General features: G+C 36.6%; 1 protein-coding gene across 2 annotated transcripts in view; it reads right to left on the bottom strand.

Annotated features, from left to right (window-relative positions):
- The window catches only part of KCND2 (potassium voltage-gated channel subfamily D member 2), a 477,430-nt gene that overhangs the window by 47,253 nt on the left and 408,387 nt on the right, over window positions 1–21,790 (bottom strand). The gene's annotated exons all lie outside the window — the stretch shown is intronic.

Raw genomic sequence — 21,790 nt, 5'->3', positions numbered from 1 at the left:
CTGAGGACATCAAGATTACACCTTCCACATTTAAGGCTATTTTCTATTGCTTCCAGTAACATATTGAAATTCTGTAAACAGAGCAAAGATGATAAATAATCACAATGATTAATTACTACTACTTCCCAGGCAACTGATTTTTTTAACTTTTATTTTAAATTCAGGGGTACATGTGCAGGTTTGTTATATAGGTAAACCTGTGACGGGGGGGTTATTGTACAGATTATTTTGTCACTCAGGTATTATGCCTAGTACCTATTAGTTACTTTTTCTGATCTTCTCCCTCCTCCCACCCTCCACCTTTCAGTGGTCCCCTGTATGTGTTGTTCCCCTCTATGTGTCCATGTGTTCTTATCATTTAGCTCCTGCTTATAAGTGAGAACATGTGGTATTTGGAATTCCTTAGTTTGCTAAGGATAATGACCTCCAGCTCCATCCATGTTCCTGCAAAGAACATGATCTCATTCTTTTTTATGGCTGCATAGTATTCCATGGTGTATATGTACCACATATTCTTTATCCAGTCTACTATTGATGGACATTTAGGTTGATTCTATGTCTTTGCTATTGTGAATAGTGCTGCAATAAACATTCACGTGCATGTGTCTTTATGAGAGAATGATTTATATTGCTTTGGGAATATACCCAGTAATGAGATTGCTGGGTTGACTGGTAGTTCCGTTTTTAGCTCTTTGAGAAATCACCACACTGCATTCCACAATGGTTGAACGAATTTACACTCCTATCAACTGCATATAAGCATTCCTTTTTTCTGCAACCTCACAAACATCTGCTATGTTTTTGACTTTTTAGTAATAGCCATACGGAATGGTGTGGGATGGTATCTAACTGTGGTTTTGATTTGCATTTCTCCAATGATCACTGATGTTGAGTTTTTCTTATATGCTTGTTGGTCACATGTATGTCTTCTTTTAAAGTGTTCATGTCCTTTGCCCACTTTTTAATGTTTTTTTTTCTTGTAAATTTGTTTAAGTTCCTCTCAGATGCTGGATATTAGACATTTGTCAGGTACATAGTTTTTGAAAATGTTCTTTCATTCTGTGGAGTGTTTGTTTACTCTGTTGATGTTTCTCTTGCTGTACAGAAGATTAGTTCAATTAAATCTTATTTGTCAATTTTTGCTTTTGTTGCAATTGCTTTCGGCATCTTCATCATGAAATCACTGCTTTTTTCTATGTCCAGAATGGCATTGCCTACGTTGTCTTCCAGGGTTTTGAGAGTTTTGAGTTTTACATTTAAGTCTTTAATCTTTCTTGAGTTAATTTTTATATATGGTGTAAGGAGGGGTCCCACCCCCCAGTTTCAATCTTCTGCACATGGCCAGCCACTTTTCCCAACACCATTTATTAAATAAGGAGTCCTTTCCTCCTGCTTGTTTTGTCAGCTTTGTCGAAGATCAGATGGTTGTAGGTGTGTGGCTTTATTTCTGGGCTCTCCATTCTGTTTCATTGGTCTGTGTGTCTGTTTTTATACCAGTACCAAGCTGTTTTGGTTACTGTAGCCTTGTAGTACAGTTTGAATTTGGGTAGCGTGATGCCTCCAGCTTTGTTATTTTTGCTTAGGATTTCCCAGGCAACTGATTTAGAAAAGATGAGCCTCCTTTTGAATATGAGCACTTGGCTATCCTAATTTCCATTCTAAATTCACCTAGCGCCTACTTTGCTTCTTGTTCCAGTCTCCCTATCAGGCAGGAAGAGCTTTGAAGACTTTAAATATGGTGGAAATTGCTATTTACCTCCTAATAAAACTAACACCTATTTTCCTTAGTAACAGAACTAGAATTCTAATTTTTTTTTTTTTTTTTTTTTTTTTTTTTTTTTTTTAGCTAGGCATTACAGCCATTCAACTAGGTTATTAGTCCAGCTAGCTATGACCATGGGTCTAAGCTCTGGCCAGTGAAATATATGCAGAAATGTTGAAAAGAACTTTTGTGAACTTCCCTTAAAAGGGACAGGGAACTTCTTTATTTTTCCCCTTTCTATCATCTGCTACTTTGAACACAAATGTAAAAGCTGGAACTCCCGCATCCTACTTCACCCACGAGTACCAGTGCCACACCCTGAGGGTAGGAGAGTAATGACATGGAAAGAGCCTGGGGCCCTGAAGATTTTATGGAGTCATCACATCAGCTGTCTACTTCCCTTTATGTAAGAGTCAAATATACTTCTATCTTTTTAATGTTACACATCCTAAACTAAGCTTGACACAGAGCATAATGGATTCTACAGACATTTTTTAGCATTACATTTATTAGCTATTGTCTTCCCTTTCATGACTCTTTAGAAATCTATGTTCAATAAATACTTACTGAACAAATAAATCTTAACCATCAAAAAACAGCTTGTACTACACCTAGAGAACTGAAAGAATTGATTTCAACATTTGTTTATTTCATGAAGGACCTTGCCCAGCAATTAAAATTGTCTTAACTTTAATAAATTTTTCTATTTTTTAAATTCTCCAAAGTTTGATGTTGAAAGGGGCCATAATGTTTTGATGATTATTTATGTCATGGGTTGTAAGAGCATATCTAAATGGGCTATTGGCTTCAAACAAAGAAAAGACTAAGAGATAGCCTGTTTATGATGTTAAGCCTTATGTGACGTCCACAAATAGAAATGTGGCTTTGTAAATTGAGCAGGCTGTCTCTCAGTTAAGATGTGTCACACCAGCTTCAATAAGGTCTGGGGCAACTTCAGGGGAGTTAGTTGAACAAAGATAACTTTACAAGTGTTTAAACTTATATGAATTAGCCATATGAATTTTCTCCCTTTATACGGGCTCATTATTTTCAGTACATATGTTTGCTCTAAACATTGCCATTAAACAGTAACCCTCTTTTCACCATTCAATGCTCATCTACTCTACTGTTCTATTTATATCCTTTTCTTTAGAGATAAACTTTGTAAAAGATTACTCTAAACCCACTCATATTTTTTCTGATTTATTTTTTTCTTGACCAATCTATGGCATTTCCCACTGTTTTCAATATCACCCCTGAAGCTCTCTTAATTTTCAGCTTCCATGAGAGCTCTTGTCCTGATTCTTCCAACTTAGCAGCCACACCCTATTCTTAACTACTTGTATCTTTTCTTCCTCCATGCCCGAAATATTGTTTTTATTGGGGTTCTACCATGAGTTTCTTTATATCTTTTACATAAACATGTATATCAAGGGTTCACATAACATGTATTTTCTGATGACTCATAATTGTACATTCTATTACCTGAAATTGACAGTTGTATTTCTATACTCATTAACAAAAACCTACCAATCTAAGACTGAACTTACCCAAGTCAAATGTCAAACTGTTGCCTTCTCTTCCTTCAAGAGTATTCTTTCTTTGACATCACCATTTGACATTTCTCTGACATCACCATTTTCCTTCTCTATCTCTCTTTGCTATGGAAAATTCATTCATCCTTTAAGATTAATAACAAATTCCACCTCTTCTTGGAAATTCCTGACCTTCTTGGGGGATTTTTCTCTCCTGTCCTCCTACTCTTTGTCTCCATAACAACAACTTAATACTTGTGTTTAATATTTTCACCTTGTGTTGTCACTAATTTATTTGTAAAACATTCCCACTCCACTGTTAGTCACTGTTGAGCAAAGCTTCTGGTTGTTTGTCTCTGTATATTTGGGTCCTACCACAGTGACTCATACAAATAAGAAGCTCAAGAAATGCTTTGGAATAAAGGAATGAATGTTTCCTTAACCTTTGCAAATTGATCCATAATTTGGACATATTATTCATTGATTTAATAACTTTTTTTTTTTTTGAGATGGAGTCTCACTCTGTTGCCCAGGCTGGAGTGCAGTGGCGCGATCTCGGCTCACTGCAAGCTCTGCCTCCCAGATTCACACCATTCTCCTGCCTCAGCCTCCCAAGTAGCTGGGACGACAGGTACCCGCCACCACACCCGGCTAATTTTTTTGTATTTTTTAGTGGAGACAGGGTTTCACTGTGTTAGCCAGGTTGGTCTCGATCTCCTGACCTCATGATCCGCCCACCTCGGCCTCCCAAAGTGCTGGGATTACAGGCGTGAGCCACCGTGCCCGGCTGATTTAATACCATTTTCATGTGCTAGACTTTAATCATCTCCCATCTCAACAAGTCTCCTGTTTTAATAAGTTAAATTCTTATTAAATTTAAAGACTTTTTAAATATAACAGAAATACCTACATGAATTTTTGAAAAGTCACAGTGGTATGTTCTTATTTTCCCATCTTTTGAACCCAAAGAACACAGCTGATTTATTGGTGGTAAGGATGAAATACATAGCAGAATCTATTGCCAAATTCCTTTTGTGGGGTAACTGTGATCTGGAAAGCTGGTCTACCTTTTGGGTCTGACATTAGGATTTGCACTAATCTGCTCAATTAATGACACAGTCTAGTACCAGTAGGTACTCATCAAATATTTGTTGAATGATTTTGTGCATGAATAATTTCCTTCATTATTTCAACCTGAAATAGTATGTAGACTAGCTTATAGCTCATAGTAATCACAAATAGCTGAAACTGACTGACAGTGTAATGCCTGCCAGGCACTTTTTCTTACTGTTTTATATGTATCATCTCATTTAATCCTCATAACAAGCTTGTAAAGTGGACACTATTATTATTACTTATATGTAACAAATTGGGAAACTGAGCCACAAAGAGTTTTAGAACATTGTCCAGAATTTCCTTATTAGCAAGCAATTGAGCTTAAACTTAAGCCCACCACCTGGCTCCAGTATGCATGCTCTTAAGTAATTTGCTATAGATGCTCTGTGAGAGACAAAGGGTCTCCAAATGTATTAAAAGGATAAAAGGTTGAGTTCGAGACCAGCCTGGCCAACATGGCAAAACCCCATTTATACTAAAAATACAACAGTTATCTGGGCATGGTAGTACATGCCTATAATCCTAGCTACCCAGAAGGCAGAGGCAGGAGAATCACCTGAACCTGGGAGGCAGAAGTTAGAGTGAGCTGAGATTGCACCACTGCACTCCAGCCTGGGCAACAAGCCAAAAAAAAAAAAAAAAAAAAAAAGGGCAAATCTATATATCCAAATATGCTTCCCTAAAATATGAGGGTTACAGTTAATATAAATAAATTTTCCTTAACATTTTTAAAAGAAATACATATAGTGATGTGATGTTTAAAAATCTATGACCACGATTGGGTGACCAGTAAATGAAGTCTCTTTATTATTTTCTAAAATGTCCACTAATTTTATTTGACACCACTTGATACATAATGTTAAGAATATTTCTTCAATCTTAGGTCCTTCCAATTATATTTTATTGTTCAGTGGCGTGGTGCTTCCACTTTAACTCTATGTCATAGCTTTGCTAATTGTTCTTAGCATTATCTTATCATTATCCCCACAGCTTCTACTTTTTATTCTCTTGCAGTTGGTCCACTGGGGTAAACTTACTGCTTCCCTACATTTTTGCATTTTATATCCTTTCATGTTTTTATGTAATTTCTCTGAAGGATAATCTGTATATCATCACATGCATGAATTTCATATTAAAGTATACAGCAAAAAAATTATACTCTGTAAAAGCTGTTAAATCCTGTTTAGCATATCAGACTAGGGACTCTTTGTTATGAGGAATTCTGGTGTTCTTTTAAAATATCCTCAAGCTCTACTTTAGTTTCTAAAACAAATAATTATAATAAAAAAAATCTTCACATACCTAGATAAATCTAAAAGGGAATTCTTTTACCCATCTAGGAAGAAAAAACATTAAAATATTAACTTTTAAGTGGTTGGCATTTGAGAAATCAAAACTGGAAAGATACTTAGTTAAGTAATGCAAAAATTATTGGTTGCAGTATAAAAAGTTATCCTCTGATTTCTTTACCCTATAGCAATCACAGCTGAAAGGAGAAAACACATAAACCATATCTGTAATTAGAATGAAAACTCACTCATTTATTAGTGCTTAGGGAAGATTGATCCCCTCAACATGTTCTCTTCCTGGGAGAAAAATGATGACCGTTTTACTGACTCAGAGATTCAAAAGCTGTGTAAAATTGAATGTTCTCAAGTTAAAAAGAAGATAATGTCGTTATTTGCAGATATATGGAACTCTAAGTTTTAAAATATTTAATTAGATTTACTTGATGATCTAGAAGCATTTTATTTACTGACTGTTTTAATCTATTTTGTGTTGCTGTAATGGAATACCTGAGACTGAGAATTTATAAACTATAGAGGTTTATTTGGCTCCTGATGCTGAAGGCTGGGAAGTCCAAGAGCATGGTGCTGGCATCTGGTGAGGGGTTTTGTGCTTTGTCATTCTAAGGCAGAAGACAGAAGGGCAAGAAAACGCAAGAGCAAGAGAGCAAGTGGTGGCTGAAGAACTCACTTTCATAACAAGAACCTCTGACAGTAACTAATGCACTCTGGTGGTAAGGACATTAATCCATGTATGATAGCAGAACCCTCATGACTTAATCACTTCTTTTTAGGCCCCACCTCCCAACACTGTTGTATTGGATAGTAAGTTTCCAGCATATGAACTTTGGAGAACACGTTCAAACCATAGCATTGATCAAACAATACAATTTATGGTTTGGGTTTAGTTCACACAGTTTTGTAACATGGCCAAATTTAGTATGGCAGTACAACCTAAGAAGTCACAGAATACTTCCATCAAAAGAATACATGCTGGGTAGGATCTTTGAAGGACACTCCTAATTGGCCATGGGAATGACTAAAGTAATCTTGGCCCTGGCAGTCTTAGCAAAATGCTCATTTAGCCTTCAGATCAGACTGTATTTTTCTCTTGAGGAAAAAATGTATTTTAATACAGTGAAATGATTTCCTTTTACCTATTCATTACCGACCAAGTATGTTTGTCTGCAATCTTTATGGAAAATAATATAATATTGGGTTGTCCAAGAAAAGTAAAACCAGCTTTTTCTGAAAATAAATTGTAGTTTGAGTTAAGTAGCTTTATGCAATAGAAATGTTGCTTGGGATAATGACGTTTCTGGCTGGCTGCCTTGTTTGATGTTCCCAGGAGTGGTTTCCATTGAAGCTATTAAATAAAAGGATTGATGTAATATGAAACTCAAGTCAGTGGTGCCCCTTATATGAGGATTAGTTGACTCTTTGATTTATTTTGGCATTTCATTTTACACCTCTTTTTGAAATCAACTCATAGCAACTTCCATCTATAAACTACTCAGTGGTCAATCAACTTCCATCTATAAACTACTCAGTGTCCTTCTACTTTGAGATACTTTGCATTCTGATTAATCTTATATCATCACAAACTTTAGTAAAAAATAAATAAATCAATAGCTTTAAGTGCAGAGGGAACGGATTGGAAGGCTTTCTGTAGAAGAAGAAAATGAAATTTCCATTTCCGCTGTCATCATCATCACCATCATCATAATCAACAAATGTATTTATTAAGTTCACATATGCATTTGCTATTTCTTCCTTTTCTTCATTATAGTTTCACTTGAAGGCATATACATTTGAGGATTACTAAAAACACACTAATTTAAATCTAACCCAATTACTCTCCTTCTTAAAAAGCATCAGATATTATAGTAGACAACCAGCTTATGTGACAATCCACTGGCACTCCTTCACAAAATATGTCTGACATAAAGTGTGAAATTTCATAGTCTCATTGGCAGAGAAAATATAAAATATTAAACTTAGCATGTTTTCTATTGCCAAATATTTCTTATAATTAAGGACAAACATACTTTTTCTGCATTTTGTTGTTGTTTCTTAAAATTAAAGTGGGCAAGTCAGGCAGTAAACTTATGGGATACATATATAAAACAAGCCATTGAAATATCAAGCTCAGTTCAAACTAATATATATATAATATATATAAAACTAATATACATATATAACAGTTTGAACTGAGCTTTTTTTCTGTTTCGATTTTTATAAAACAAAATCATGCTACATCATGTATTTAGCATCGTGGAGTACTCAGTAATGAGATAAGAACTATACCCCTAAGGAATTTGCAAACTTTGCTGGGAAATCAAGGATCTAGTCATCAATCCAGTTTACAGTATTTGCTAAAATGTGTGTGGTAGGCAGAGGAGGTTGGCCAAGGAGGAGAAGACCAAAAGTGCTACAGTAATTCAGAAAGGAGGTCAGATTTAAACTGGAACTTGAGGTTGAGGTTAGGGAGAAATGACAGGAATATTAAACTGTATTCCAACCTGGAGCAAAGGTAGAGAAACATAATAAAACATGGCTGGATTGGTGTCACTGCACAGACAGGTAATGGGTTTAGGGAGTAGTGGTAGTCTAGGTCATACTTCTGAGTATGCCCAATGCTGACGGTCAACTTCAGCGTTAGCCAGTTTACCAGTACAGCACAAGGGCAAACACCTCAGAGTGTGGTAGGCATCATTGGGGGTAATAATGTCAACATGAAATAGAATTATGGTGGTCCTTCTAACCCCTTTTAGATGTAGTCATTTCATAATTGGAGGCAGTACAACATTATTATGAAAAAAATATCTATAGTTCCACTGGAACAGAGGCATCTTCATTTGGACTTGTCATTATACATGGCCAGGCTCGCATAGGAAGAGATGCCGGTCCTCCAACTTGGTTCTGTATTTAGCCCTTTTCAATAGAAGAAAGGATTTATAAGTCATCATTATTTATTTATGGATTGTGCCTGTCTTAATTAAACCCAGGTGCCACGCTATACAGTCTACATGCACATGACAATACTTTGTAAAGATCACCTATATCTAGATATAGGTGTCCAACATTAAAAGGGTTGTATCCTAAAATATCAAGCTGAGGTGGCTCCGCCCCACCAAAGTGTGTTGATAAGAAACAGAGCCAAACTTTTTCAGAATTCTGGGAAATGAAGACAATTATTGCAGGAAGCCAGAGACCCTACACACAAATAGGCTTAGGAAAGGAGGCATCAACATGGCTTGTCAAGCTTCAGTTCTGAGTCTAATTCCTTCAAAGCAGACAGGAAAGATCCTTTTTGTCTATTTTCTTTTAGTGGTGCAATCACAGCTGACTGCAGCCTCAACTTCTTGGGCTCAAGCATCCTCTCGCCTCAGTCTCCCCAGTAGCTGGGACTACAGGCATCCACCACCCATCTCGGCATCCCAAAGAGCTGGCATTACAGGCATGAACCACCGCACGCATCCTTCTATTTACAGATGGTTATATTTTTCATCTCCTTTCTGGCCTTTCTCTGCCATGTTGCTATTTCTGTTGCTCCAGTATAGCAGAAAGGAGAGAGGCAGATCCACTGCAGATTCAGACAGGACTATGGTCTAGCTGCTACATGCCAGTGCTGTGACTGCAACCTTTTTGTGTCTCAGTTCTTAATTCTGTAAAATAGGCTTGATAATACTTTTTTGTGAGGATTAATTGGGGTGGTGCATATAAAATAGCAAATACAGAGCTAGATCTGCAATAATCACACATTGGAAGCCAGTTAACTTCCCTGCCTCTTTCCTTTTTCCCTCTTCCTCCACTTCATCTCTCTTTCTTTTTATCCTTCCTTTCTTTGGTTCCTTCCTCTCAATTTTTTTTCATTATCCATTTAAAAATATTTTTATTTTTAAAAATAAAAATACTTCCCATTTGCTAAGTACTATGTTTGGCACTAAAAATAAATCAGTGCCTTGAGGAGGGAGAACGATCACTGTCCTCATCAGCTCACCACCTAATAAGACAGACAAACATTAATCAAAGCAGTGCATGAATAAAAGTAATGAATTATACCTGTTAAGTACGAAGCGGAAGTACGTGGTGCTCTGAGGATGAATAGTATGATTATTAATATCTTTTCCTTTTTCCCTTTCAATATATACCAACAGAAAAATAAACTATGCTAGAGTAGAACTCAGAAAATGAATAGAAAGTGCAAATGTTTATGTTTTGGTATATTAAGCTTGAAAATACATGAATGTTGGTACTCCTGTACTTTGAAATTCCTAGAATCAGGAAGTTGAATAAGGGACATCACAACCTAAATAATTCTACTTCTTGTTTCTATTTTATGCTTCATTGGCTCATCTTTTTTGTGAGTAGTTGTTTTAGTAGGATTTGGTAGGTTTACTCTTCCTTTGATTAAATGAATAATAATTCCTTTTTCCTTTGCGGGGAAAATGTACCTTGGAGTTCAAAACAGTGGGTTGTTCAGAAACTCTAAGTTCAATCACATTACAACCAATCAATAGAAAATAAAGCACCTTCTTTCATAGGAGTTTCATCTTAATGAGTAGAGCTGAGGCAGCTTCACAGTGTGAAATGCCCCACAGGGGCTGAATCCTCTCCCAGGCCCTCTGGCTTGGAGAGAATAGAGAACTCAAAGTCCCCATCGAGGTGAGCGTACTTGCTGCAAAGTGACAGGAGTCAGCAGTCCCAAACAGTAGGACACTTTCTTATTGAATAATAATTCTTTTCTTGTTAATCCTAGAAGAGATGGGTTCTTTGCAGGGGGCCTTGGAATCTAGGATGAGATTAACTTTGTATTAAAGGACTGTGCCTGGGAAACCTCTTTTTCTTATTCACCCAGTCTGCCAAGGTTGAGGAATTTGGGTCCTGTTGGTGTGTTTATCTTACATCAACATAATGTAGTTTAACATTTTCTGTCATTATAGTAAATGACTATATTATGGACAAACTTGCAGGAGAAAAATAAAAGATAACTAAAAAAAAGTTTGTATTAAGGAATTTAAAGTTAACTGGTCCCCAAGCACCACAGTCAAGGACCATCATTTTGGAAGTTGCCCTTGGTACAGATTATTCAGCCATAATGATCTTTGTTGCACTAGGAGATGGACTTCATGTAATATTGGCACGAACATGTTACATCTCTTCTCACTGCCCATCACCAAACAAATGAAAAAGCTTCCTTTGACTTCACTTCCTTTCTCAGCTACCTCCTCATTTGTCTCCCTCCCTTTACAGCACATTCCTTGAAAGAATTGTCATTGCTGATGCATCTCCTTTCATTCTCTCTCTGTTGCATTCCAGTGAGACTTTCTACCCCATGATTTCACCAAAACTGCTCCTTTAAAGGTTCTCTAAATTGCTAAATCTGAAGGTCGGTTCACAGTGCTCCTCTCCCTTGACCCAGAATTTGACACAGCTGACCACAAGGTCCTCCTTGAAACATTTTCTTTCTGCATTTGATTTTAGGACTCTGCATTCTCCTTATTTTCCTCCTACCTAACTGGTCTCTGCTTCTTAGTCTCCTTGTTGCCTCAACTTCTTTGCACTGGAGTGATTCGGCTCCCAGTATCAGCACCATTTCTCTGTGATATTCACACTCCTTCCCTTGTTGATGACATCTAGTCACTGGCTTTATAATATTTATACCTGGATGATGCCTAAATGTGTACCTCCAGGTTAGACCTCTTCCTCGGGTTCTAGACTCACATAGCCAACTGCCTATGTGTCTCCACTTGGTGTGTAGTAGGCATCTCAACAATAACATATCCACAGCTCCACTCCTAATCCTCCCCTTCATTCTGTTCCTCCCTGTCTCCCCCAGTTTACTTGAAGGTAGCACCATCTGTAAGTTGCTCAGTCCAAAAACCTCAGTCATCCTATACCTCTGTCTCTTACAGTCACTGTCCAATCTGTCAGAAAACTATGCCAGCTTAATATCTGAAATATATTTACTGTCCAATCTCTTCCCTACATTTCCTTTGGCAACACCCTGGTTCAAACCACCATCTTCTCCCCCCATGGTGATTGTAATAGCCTCCTGAGTGCTCTGCCTGCTTCTGCCTTGTCTCTCCAAGTCTAGTTTAGCCTAGTAGCCAAAGAGATCCTGTTACAGCAGATGTTAGAAATATTGTATAGCTGTTACTTCTTTGCTTCAAGCCTTCCACTGGCTTCCAATCTGGCTGTAGGTAAAAGCAGTCATTGGGATGGTCCACAAGGCCATACATTACCTGATCTGGTTAACTCCCTGGCCCACTCAGTGTTAGCACAACTCCTTGGCTGTTCCTCATAGACCCCATACATGCTACTGCTTCAGGACCTTTGCACTTGCGTGGACTTCTCTTTCCCTACTTTTAAGTATTTACTTAAATGTCATCTTCTTGGTGTAGACTTTTCTGACCACACTACTTAAAATTTCAACATCCACAGCGCTCCCTACCACTCTTTATCCTCATTCTCGTTTTCTTTTTCTTTATAGCATGCATTACCCTCTAACATACTATGCATTTTACTTTTTTATTTTGCATACATCTGTCCTCCCTCCCACCTCCCACTAGAATGTAAGATCCATAAGGGCAAAGGTTTTGTCTCTTTTATGCATTGCTGTATTCTCATGGCTTAGAATAGTGCTTAGCACATGGAAGTGGTCAATAAATATTTATCAATATGATCAATGTGATTATTAGGAATATAGCTTGTTATTTGTGACTCTAAAATGCATTCTAACTCTTGTCAATGTGTTTCTACTTCACTTCTTACACCCATCTGTTCCAGTGTCCTGCCCTTCACCAGGTGAATGGGAAGGCAAAGAAAAAGGTGTCAGTGATGCAAACAGGGTATGTCACTGGATGGTGTTATAGCTCTGGTGCCACTGCTAGCTGACCTCAGCATGTCTGTGCAAGCACGTGGTTCTCCTCTCTGCCCTGATGCCACTCGTTTGGTGATATTTGGAAATAATTAAATACTTAAGGTCAGGACCTCTTTGAGAGTTATTGGTGGATTTTCTTTCTTTATAAGAAGTATTACATAAAAAGTAATAGAACTATATTTTTGTGTATGTATGTATGTCTTTATTTTAAAAATAATAAAGCAAATTTAAAAGCCATTCTAAAGAAGGTATTTTTTTTCTGTATGCCTTATATTTGTGTCATATATTAGCCCTTCATAGACAAGTACTAGGGCACATAATTGTTTATTGAATGCTTGTCATTTAACCAATAAATAACATTTCCATTTCTTAAATAAAAAAGTGATCTTTGAAAAAAGAAAACATTTTCTAATACCAGAATCACAAAGAAAGGTTTGTGCTGTGATTTACAAGGTACAGGAGAAAAAATCAGAAATCAGAAAGGGTCCAGGAGAATTGCTGATTTGACTAGAACTTCTACACACTTCTCTCCAGCTGGCAAAATGGGTTTGAGAGACAGGCACTAGCAAATACTCTGTAAGTGTTTCAACTCCCCAATACTGATAGAGAGGAATGAGAAGCCCGTGGCTTAGCTGAAGGATGCTCTGGGGAATTCATTAATGGAGAATATTCCCTAAATTAAAAGTTGTTTAGTCTTTGCCCTCATTTCATTTGCCTCTTCAGTAGGCAGTATGACCTCTCTTTAGAAGGAGAAAAAAATGGGACTGCAAAAGGAACTGGGCTTATGCATATTCCGTGCTACAAAGAAGCACAATGTTCAAGCATGCTATCTAAGTAGTTTCAGAGAAAGGGATAGTGAAGATTTATGTCTAAATTATCATATAAATCATAATTACTAAACCAGATTATTGATCCAAAAATAAAATAAAGGACAACCTGCATTTTACATTTTATGACTAGTGGTTTGTTATGTGTATTTCAAGTAAATATTAGGTTTAAATTATGTAAATGGTGACTTTATAAACATAGTCTTTATAAACAAAAGGAAAGCAATCTATGAAATCAGATTATTGAGATGGAACCATTTTACTTTAAATATAAAATTAAATATCTATTTCAATCTATGTATTTAAGGCATCAACATTTAAAAAAATAAAATTTGTATTGCAGCATAATTTACCGTGATTCAAAACTGATGACACAAAAAGAAAACAATGCCACTATTTCCTCTTATTCTGTATTGTGCTTGTGGAATATTTTTATTTTGTGTCCTATGTTGCATTTTTCGTGTCCAGAAACTAAAAATGCAATGTGATATTGGAAGTGAATATCCAAATTCGGCCCACTACTGTGCATTTTTCTGCTCACACTCCTGTTTCTCATAAGATAAGACCCTGTACTACAGTGACACTCTGTGTGTATTATAGCCATGATAAGGCTCTCTAAAGAACTGAAGAACAGTGATGCAGAGGGGGCACCAATTGGAAGAGAGAATTGAGTATGTGGAGTCTTCTTTTGAATCCATCAGAGTTATCTCATCTGCAAAAATCTTATTTTCATTTTCAGGGTCTGGTTACTGGCATCCATGAGGTAAGGCTTCCCTTCCTCTTGCTCAGTTTTCTAAAAGGAGATCATTTTTGATACTCTTAACACTGGGAAATACAGACAAAAGTACATCTTTAGAGCAGTACAGTTACTTCTATTTTTGTAATCATAACCAGGCTTAAGTCTTGTTCTTTTAACATTTTTTTTCTTAGAGGATTATGCCATGAGATCAAGATGGAAGAATCTTGAAACAAAAACTGAGGATGATAGACATGGTAAGCGTTTTCCCTCTGCTCCATCAGACAAGACTGTGCTGAACAAGTGATCAACACTAACAAATCCGTGGCAGCTTAATTTGCTGTTCAGAAGCTTCAAGGAGATCAGGACAACAAATTATCTGTGCGATGTCAGGTCTCCAGGGCCTGGGAAGGTCCTCTCTATAGAGCAGAGTGGCAAAGGTCAGACCGTGGGTGAAGTTGGTCCTTCTCGTGTTTCTGTATCACTTGAAAACTAAGAAGGATTCTTACATTTTTAAATGGCTGATATGGGAAAATGGCATGAAATCCAAATTTCAGTGTCGATAAATGAAATTTTATTGAAACTCAGCCATGTTTGCTTGCGTCTTTTCTGATTGTTTGCTTGTTACCACAGCAGAGCTGAGTGGTTTTGACAGAGACAGTGTGGCTTACAAAAGTGAAAATATTTACTATATGGTACTTAACAGAAAAAGTTTGTAGACCCTTAGTATAGAGTATAATTTACATAACCCTTTGCTAAAGTGGACACTTCAGTTATTTGCAATTTTTTACATTAAATATAAACTAGGAATGAGTATATCTGTACATAGCTTGGCTTTAGTTTTGCAGCTTTACCTGTTAAGAAAGCCACATTCACCCATGTGTGTGACTGAATCTGAGACTCAAGAATGTGTCCACCAGGTTGCAGTGGGGATTTAGCCTCACAGTCCAAACTAGACACTGAATGCTTTTCATACTGCATATTTACCTGTCTACCCTTATTATGCAATCAAGAGTACAATTAAATTGCTGAACTTCAATAACAAAAGAGATACTTTTGAAAGAAGGGTCTGTTTTACAATGTAAATCTCAATCCCTATTTCATTAACTACAAAGATTATAATTATATATTTATGTAACATTATTATCTAAACACTTTTAGTTTATTAGTTTGATTAGTATTATGTTTTATCATTTTAAAAAAATGTATTTTGAATTGACAAATAAAAATTGCATTTGTTTATTATGTACAACATGATGGGGTTTTTTTATGTTGTTTTTCTTTTTAGATATGGGGTCCCACTATGTTCCCCAGGCTGGTCTCAGACTCCTGGGCTCATGCAACCCACTCAACTCAGCCTCCCAAAGTGCTGGGATTACAGGCATGAGCCCCAATGCTTGCCCCCAACATGATGTTTTGAAATATGTGAGCACTGTAGAGTGGTTAAATCAAGCTAATCAGCACATGCATTTCATTAGATACTTATTTAATTTTTAAAATTGTGTTAATAACATTTACCATGAGATTTATCCTTTTAACAAAATTTTTAGTGTACAATACGGTACTGTTGCCTATGTTATACAGCAGATCTCTAGAATTCATTAATCTACCATAACTGAAAGTTTATATCTGCTGAAGATCGACTTCCTATTTCTTCCTCCCCTTAACCCCCAGCAACCACTGGACACTAATGCAGTCAAACTTATAGAAGCAGAGGGTAGCACAGTGGTTGCCAAGAGTTAGGGGGAGAAGAAGAACGTGGAATCATGTAGTATTTGTCCTTCCGTGTCTGGCTTATTTCACTTAATATAATGTCTTCAAGGTTCATCCATGTTGTTGCATATGGTAGTGTTATAGTAGGTAGTCAAGCAGACATGAGCAGGGTAGGAGAGGACCCCTCCACACACAAACACACACATACTAGAAATGTCAAGTGACCATCAGGTGATTGTCAGGTGGTTGTTATGCTATCTCTCTAAAATAATAATTGTTCACAACCGGTGCCAAGGAAAGGCAGTCTTCCAATAGATAGAAACAAATGAAACTAGTGATCAGCGGTTTCCTGATAAGATCTCAGGAGCTGGGTAATGGACTCAAGCATGTGTACTAAGAGGCAAAATGGCAGAGTTTAACTGGTATATGACCTTTTTCTAGGAACACTCAACTGGTAAGGGAAGAATGCCTCAGGTGAGCATGGATACAACTCCAGTAAACACCCTGTGCTTGTAGCCCTTCCCAGGTGCTGGCAGGCCACTATGCATGTGGAATGCTTGCATCTGAGACCCCAAGTCAAAGGTCAAACCATGCACTCGAATCTCTCAAGTCCCCCACTTTGCTCTCTTCCACGTGTACTTTATTTCCTCTTGTTCTTGCTCTAATACTTTTTAATAAACTTTCGCTCCTGCTCTAAAACTTGCCTCCAACTCTGTCTTATGCCTCTCCATTGAATTCTTTCTTCTGAGGAGGCAAGAACTGAGGTCGCTGCAGAACTGTATGGATTTGCTGCTGCTAACAGTAGGATTTCCATCTTTTTAAAGGTTAAATAATATTCCATTATATGTTCGTGGGGGTGGAAAATGGTGCAGCAACTATGGAAAACATTATGGAGGTTTCTCAAAAATTTGAAACTAGAACTCCACTATGATACAGCAATCCTACTTCTGGGCATATGTATCTAAGAGTATTAAAATCAGGATCTCTAAGAGATATCTGCACTCCCATGTTCATTTCAGCATTGTTCACAATAGCCAAGATATGGAAAAAATCTAAATATCCATTTACCATTTAATCTAAATTTAGAATCCGGGTTCTTATGTGGGGTGCCAGAAACACAAACATATTCCATTTAAATATCCTTAGGTATACCCCTTAAGTATTAATGCCTTTCTTTGCCAGAGAGAAACTTTTATGACTGCATTCTGTTTAGTGTAGGCATGTGTTTGGGGAGTGGGGAGGATCTTCAGTCACTTGAATGTGCTCTGTGAGATCTAGGAATTGTGCTTCTCTTTCCTCAAAGGGACATAGATAAAGGCAGAAACAGATTTCACAGGACAACTTCTGCCCACCAGGGTTCAGGAAGAAAGAGCTTCTCTTGGCATCAGAATAGCATTGCTTTTTACTTATTCATATTAGGAGAAAGTTCTAAAATAATTTGTCTTTGTCAGAATGTTCCTCATTTTTAGATAACTTTTCTTTCTTCATTTTTAGAGAGCTTTCTCCCTTATGTAAAACAAAATATATTTTATCAGGATTCAAGTAAGGCTGTGGAGTAGAAATTTAACTGCTTTTGTGATAGCAAATATGTAGTTGACACCGCCATTCTGAAGAAAGCCAGACTCCACAGTGACAAATAGCTCATAGAGCAGGTGCTGGCTACACCTAACTTTGAATTTTCCTGTCTTCAGCTGTGAAATCGTTTATCTCAGAGTACCAAATTTTGCCACTGACACTGCAGCATCCGATATCAACATATCAACCTCCTAGTTAGTGCCACAGTGCTCTGCTTCCATTGTAATCTGATAAGAGGGAAGTGTTTGTGAGAACCTGGACAGACTCATGCGCTGGTGTATATGTTAGCCCTCAAAATTCTAATGACGCTGAAGAATCTTCAGAGACTATATGATCTTAGTGCTTAGGTAACTGTCCGGTTAATAACAACCAAATCTGGAAGGGTGATAGTTCTTGTAGTAGAAAGATGGATTCTTATCTCTCTCCTAGTCTTGTTTTAGGCATGTACAGAGTTTCCAACTTTATCAGCACTCATCTATGTTGCTACTTCTGAGCCTTGCTGTAAACCAGCAGTCCCGAAACTTTTTGGCACCAAGGACCAATTTCGTGGAAGACAATTTTTCCACAGACCAAGAATGTGATAATGGTTTGGTAATGATTCAAATGCATTAAATTTATTGTGTGTTTTATTTCTATTGGTATTACTTTGTAATATATAATGAAATAATTATACAACTCATCATAATGTAGAACCAGTGGGAGCCCTGAGCTTGTTTTTCTGAAACTAGATGGTCCTATCTGGGAGTGATGGGAGACAGTGACAGATTATCAGACATTAGATTCTCATAAGGAATGTGCAATCTGTATCCCTCACATGCACAGTTCACAATAGGGTTTGTGCTCCTATGAGATTCTAAAACCGCTGCTGACCTGACGGAAGGTGAAACTCAGGTGATATTGCGAGTGATGGGGAGTGGCTGTAAATACTGATGAAGCTTTTCTGGCTTGCCCTCTGCTCACCTCCTGCTGTGCAGCTTTGTTCCTAACAGGCCCTGGACCCACGGGTAATAGGGTAATCGAGGAGCCCTGCTGTAAACTGTTTCTAAGCATTAAGCTCTACCCCAAGGTCTACCAAATGCTACTCAAAGTAACTACCTAGAGACGCTTAAGGTCTACCCAGAGTCTATGTGTTGCCAAAAGTTGCTTGTATTACAATATCCTCTAACTTCTTAAAATGAAAACTGGTGGAAATACATTGAAAAATATAAAGCAATTTGCTACACTTATCACCAAGAAGGAAATTTACATATCTTGTTATAATATTCCAGAAGTACATGTTGTACTTTTTTCTCCTGATTAATCTTGTCTTCATTGAAAATAACTTCTAATTACGTGTACTAGATTAAGTCATGAGGCCTAAGGCACTGAAATACAATGTGCTAACTTTAACTTCATAAAATGTATTTTAGCAAACGTGAACTTGCTGTTTCTGAAGGCCCCAGGAATAACGCCACACTAGCACGTACACAGAGCTTAATCTCATGTTCAGAATTAGGCTCTGTGATGACAGAAGCTTTCCTTGTAGTCAGCCGTATCCCTTTTGCTTTCAGGTGATGATGAAGTACTCCATTTTCTTATTACAACTATTTTACTAAATAAAGGCTCTATTTGGAGATGGTCCCTATTATCCCAATGGCTCAAGTAAGAAGCCAGAGAATCATTAAAAAGAAAAGAAAAGAGAAAGAACAAGGCTGTTTCCCGCCAGCAGCAATGGAACCATCTCTGTTTACTGTGCCTTTCCTACCATTAATTCCCTTGAATTTAAGCTCTTAAGACTTCAAGTCCATGCATCTCTGAAATGCTATTTCCACTTCTCATTTCTCTTAAAGAAAAAAAAAATGAAAGAGTTTGCATTTTTGATCATCTAGACTTTATAGGTGATTCTAATCCTTTATTTTTCTATTTTTTTGGATTATAACTTACTTTTGTTGTAACTATGCTATTCTGATCTGGTCATTGAGTATACTGCTATCCTTAAATTTTCAGGCCTCTTAGTCACATTTTCTCTCTAGACACAGAATGTCATAATCATGTTTAGATATTAGAATTGTACATGCATGAAATGCCAGTTATGCTATTACTTAAATAATTTAAATATTCCTTTTGCTAAGAATATTAAAAAACAGAACTTTTCACATTGGTTTTGAGTGTCTATTTCTTGCACAGACTATAGAAATGCTACCAGCATCTTTCAAATTAGTGCTTCTATTGTGGTTTCTTTTTGCAGAAGATAAAGCTCTTCTGAGTTCTACTGACATCTTTCAACACTACACAACAGGGTCTCTAGGATACTCATCATTACTATTGCATCCTCCTGCTGACTTGTTTAATAAATGCCAACTAGTAAGATCATAGTAGACTGGAGTACCTCCTCCATCTCCATTTGTAATGACACCATTAGAAAAAGCAAATAAAAAAACCATAGGATTTCTTCATTTATTCATCAAAAATGCACAGGATGAAAGGCATGATGCTTGGTGCTTGATACGAAACTTTGCTCAGAAAAAAGTAGTATTCAACCAGTGTTTCATGAGATAAATCAATATATTGTCTAAGCCAGTCATGCCAATCCCATCTGTCTTTGGCAATGATTTGTTTAGGAATGGACAAGTAAAGATGTTTTAGCCAACAGCATAGTTGGGGAGTCTTCTAGAAGTCCCTGACACTTGGGAAGGCTGACCTTTATTCTTTGCAAGTTGTTCTATGAACATGTGATGCTTACGGCTGCTGTAGTCATTTTAACACCCTGAGTAGGAATATCACCAACAAACCAAATAATGGCAGAGCAGAAATGTGGAACAAGCATTCTTAAGTTGCTGAATCAACCATGAAACTGCCTAACTTCAGAGTTCTTGTTAAGAGAGACAACAAACAACTGTTTCTTAAAATACTTTTAACCGGCTATTGTGTTACATATAGCTAAAGCATTTCAACGAATGTGTAATAGCAACATGTTTCCCATTCAGATAATCTTGTCATTGCTTCATTTCTGAAGTATTTTTTCAGCTTTCACTGTATAATGTTGCAGTACAGAAAGACTGCACTGTCTTTCAATAATCATTAAATGGCTGATTAGTAGGACCAGTTTATATACTATTCTTGGAGAACACTGGTAATTTCTGGCTGATTCAATGGAGTTTTTCCACTTTTTGAATATGTATTTTTGTCTTATAGAAAGAATAGCACAGTTAAGGAATCTTAACACATTTTACATTCTTTTTGAATTACTAGTCCTGGCTTTTAATTTACACTGTATTCTATCAGTTAGGAAATGTGACCATTACTGAAAATGTACCTGAAAGACTACTTATTTTTATTTTAAATATCTCGATAATATAATTTATTGTGTATTAATACCCCATGTTTATTAATATCTTTAATTCTTCCATACATCCCTGAGAGAAATAACTTATGTAATGAAAACAAGCTGCACTTAGAGAAAACATAAAAATCTTGTGAAATTATATTTATGTTCCTTAACTTGTAAAAAAGAAAATGAGGGAAGTTTACTATTGCATTGATCAAATGAATAAGTTCAAGTTATGATAACTTACGTTCTCTCAGTATTCGAGAGCATGTTTTTGAAAAGAGACAATCAACTACAATTAAAGCAAATTCATATTAATTACATTTTATAGGATTTTATCATTTGCTTTTAAACAGTATCTTTCCCATTGAACTATTATCTACTTAGAGTTTAACTATGCCTTTTTGGGAGTTTCATTTAATTATCTTTAAGTTAGTATTAGCTGCTTAGTTAGCCTAATTATGTTATTAGGAAATGAAAAAAGGCCATTTTATATGGACATTCGGTAAAGGACATTTCTTTATATGGTATTAAAAATAATCCTCAATTTCTGATATAAAACCAGCATTCACATATTTCAACTGTTTTTTTCATAGTATTCTGCTGATAAGCAGGATTCTTGATATTCAACAAAGAAAATGTGAATAGTTATGATTAAAAGATGAAGATAAATTAGAAAGCCTAAAACTCACTTACATACATAAAAATTTAGTAGAAGGAAGTTTATTAACTTCCTATTGAAACCGCAATACATACTTCTTCATTTTGTGGTTGGTGAATATATATATATATGGAGAGAGAGAGAGAGAGAGAGAACTTATTTGTTACTGACACATTTTAAGTATTTCTATCAGAAATGTCACCAGATGTTGGCAAAGGTAAAAAATTGTGGTTACAGAGCACATGTGTTTAGTTGGAATGTGATTATCCTGCTGCTTCCCGTCACCTTCCCCATTCCTCCATCAAAATCATCCTTACTATCAATAATAGAATCTGTAAGCATTGCAGCTGGAAGGGATTTTAGAATCCATTTATGCCATCCCTATA

Source organism: Homo sapiens, chromosome 7, assembly GCF_000001405.40.
Source record: "Homo sapiens chromosome 7, GRCh38.p14 Primary Assembly".
Taxonomy (NCBI): Eukaryota; Metazoa; Chordata; class Mammalia; order Primates; family Hominidae; genus Homo; species Homo sapiens.
Note: the sequence above shows the minus strand (reverse complement) of the source record. Positions and strands in the feature narration are given on the sequence as shown.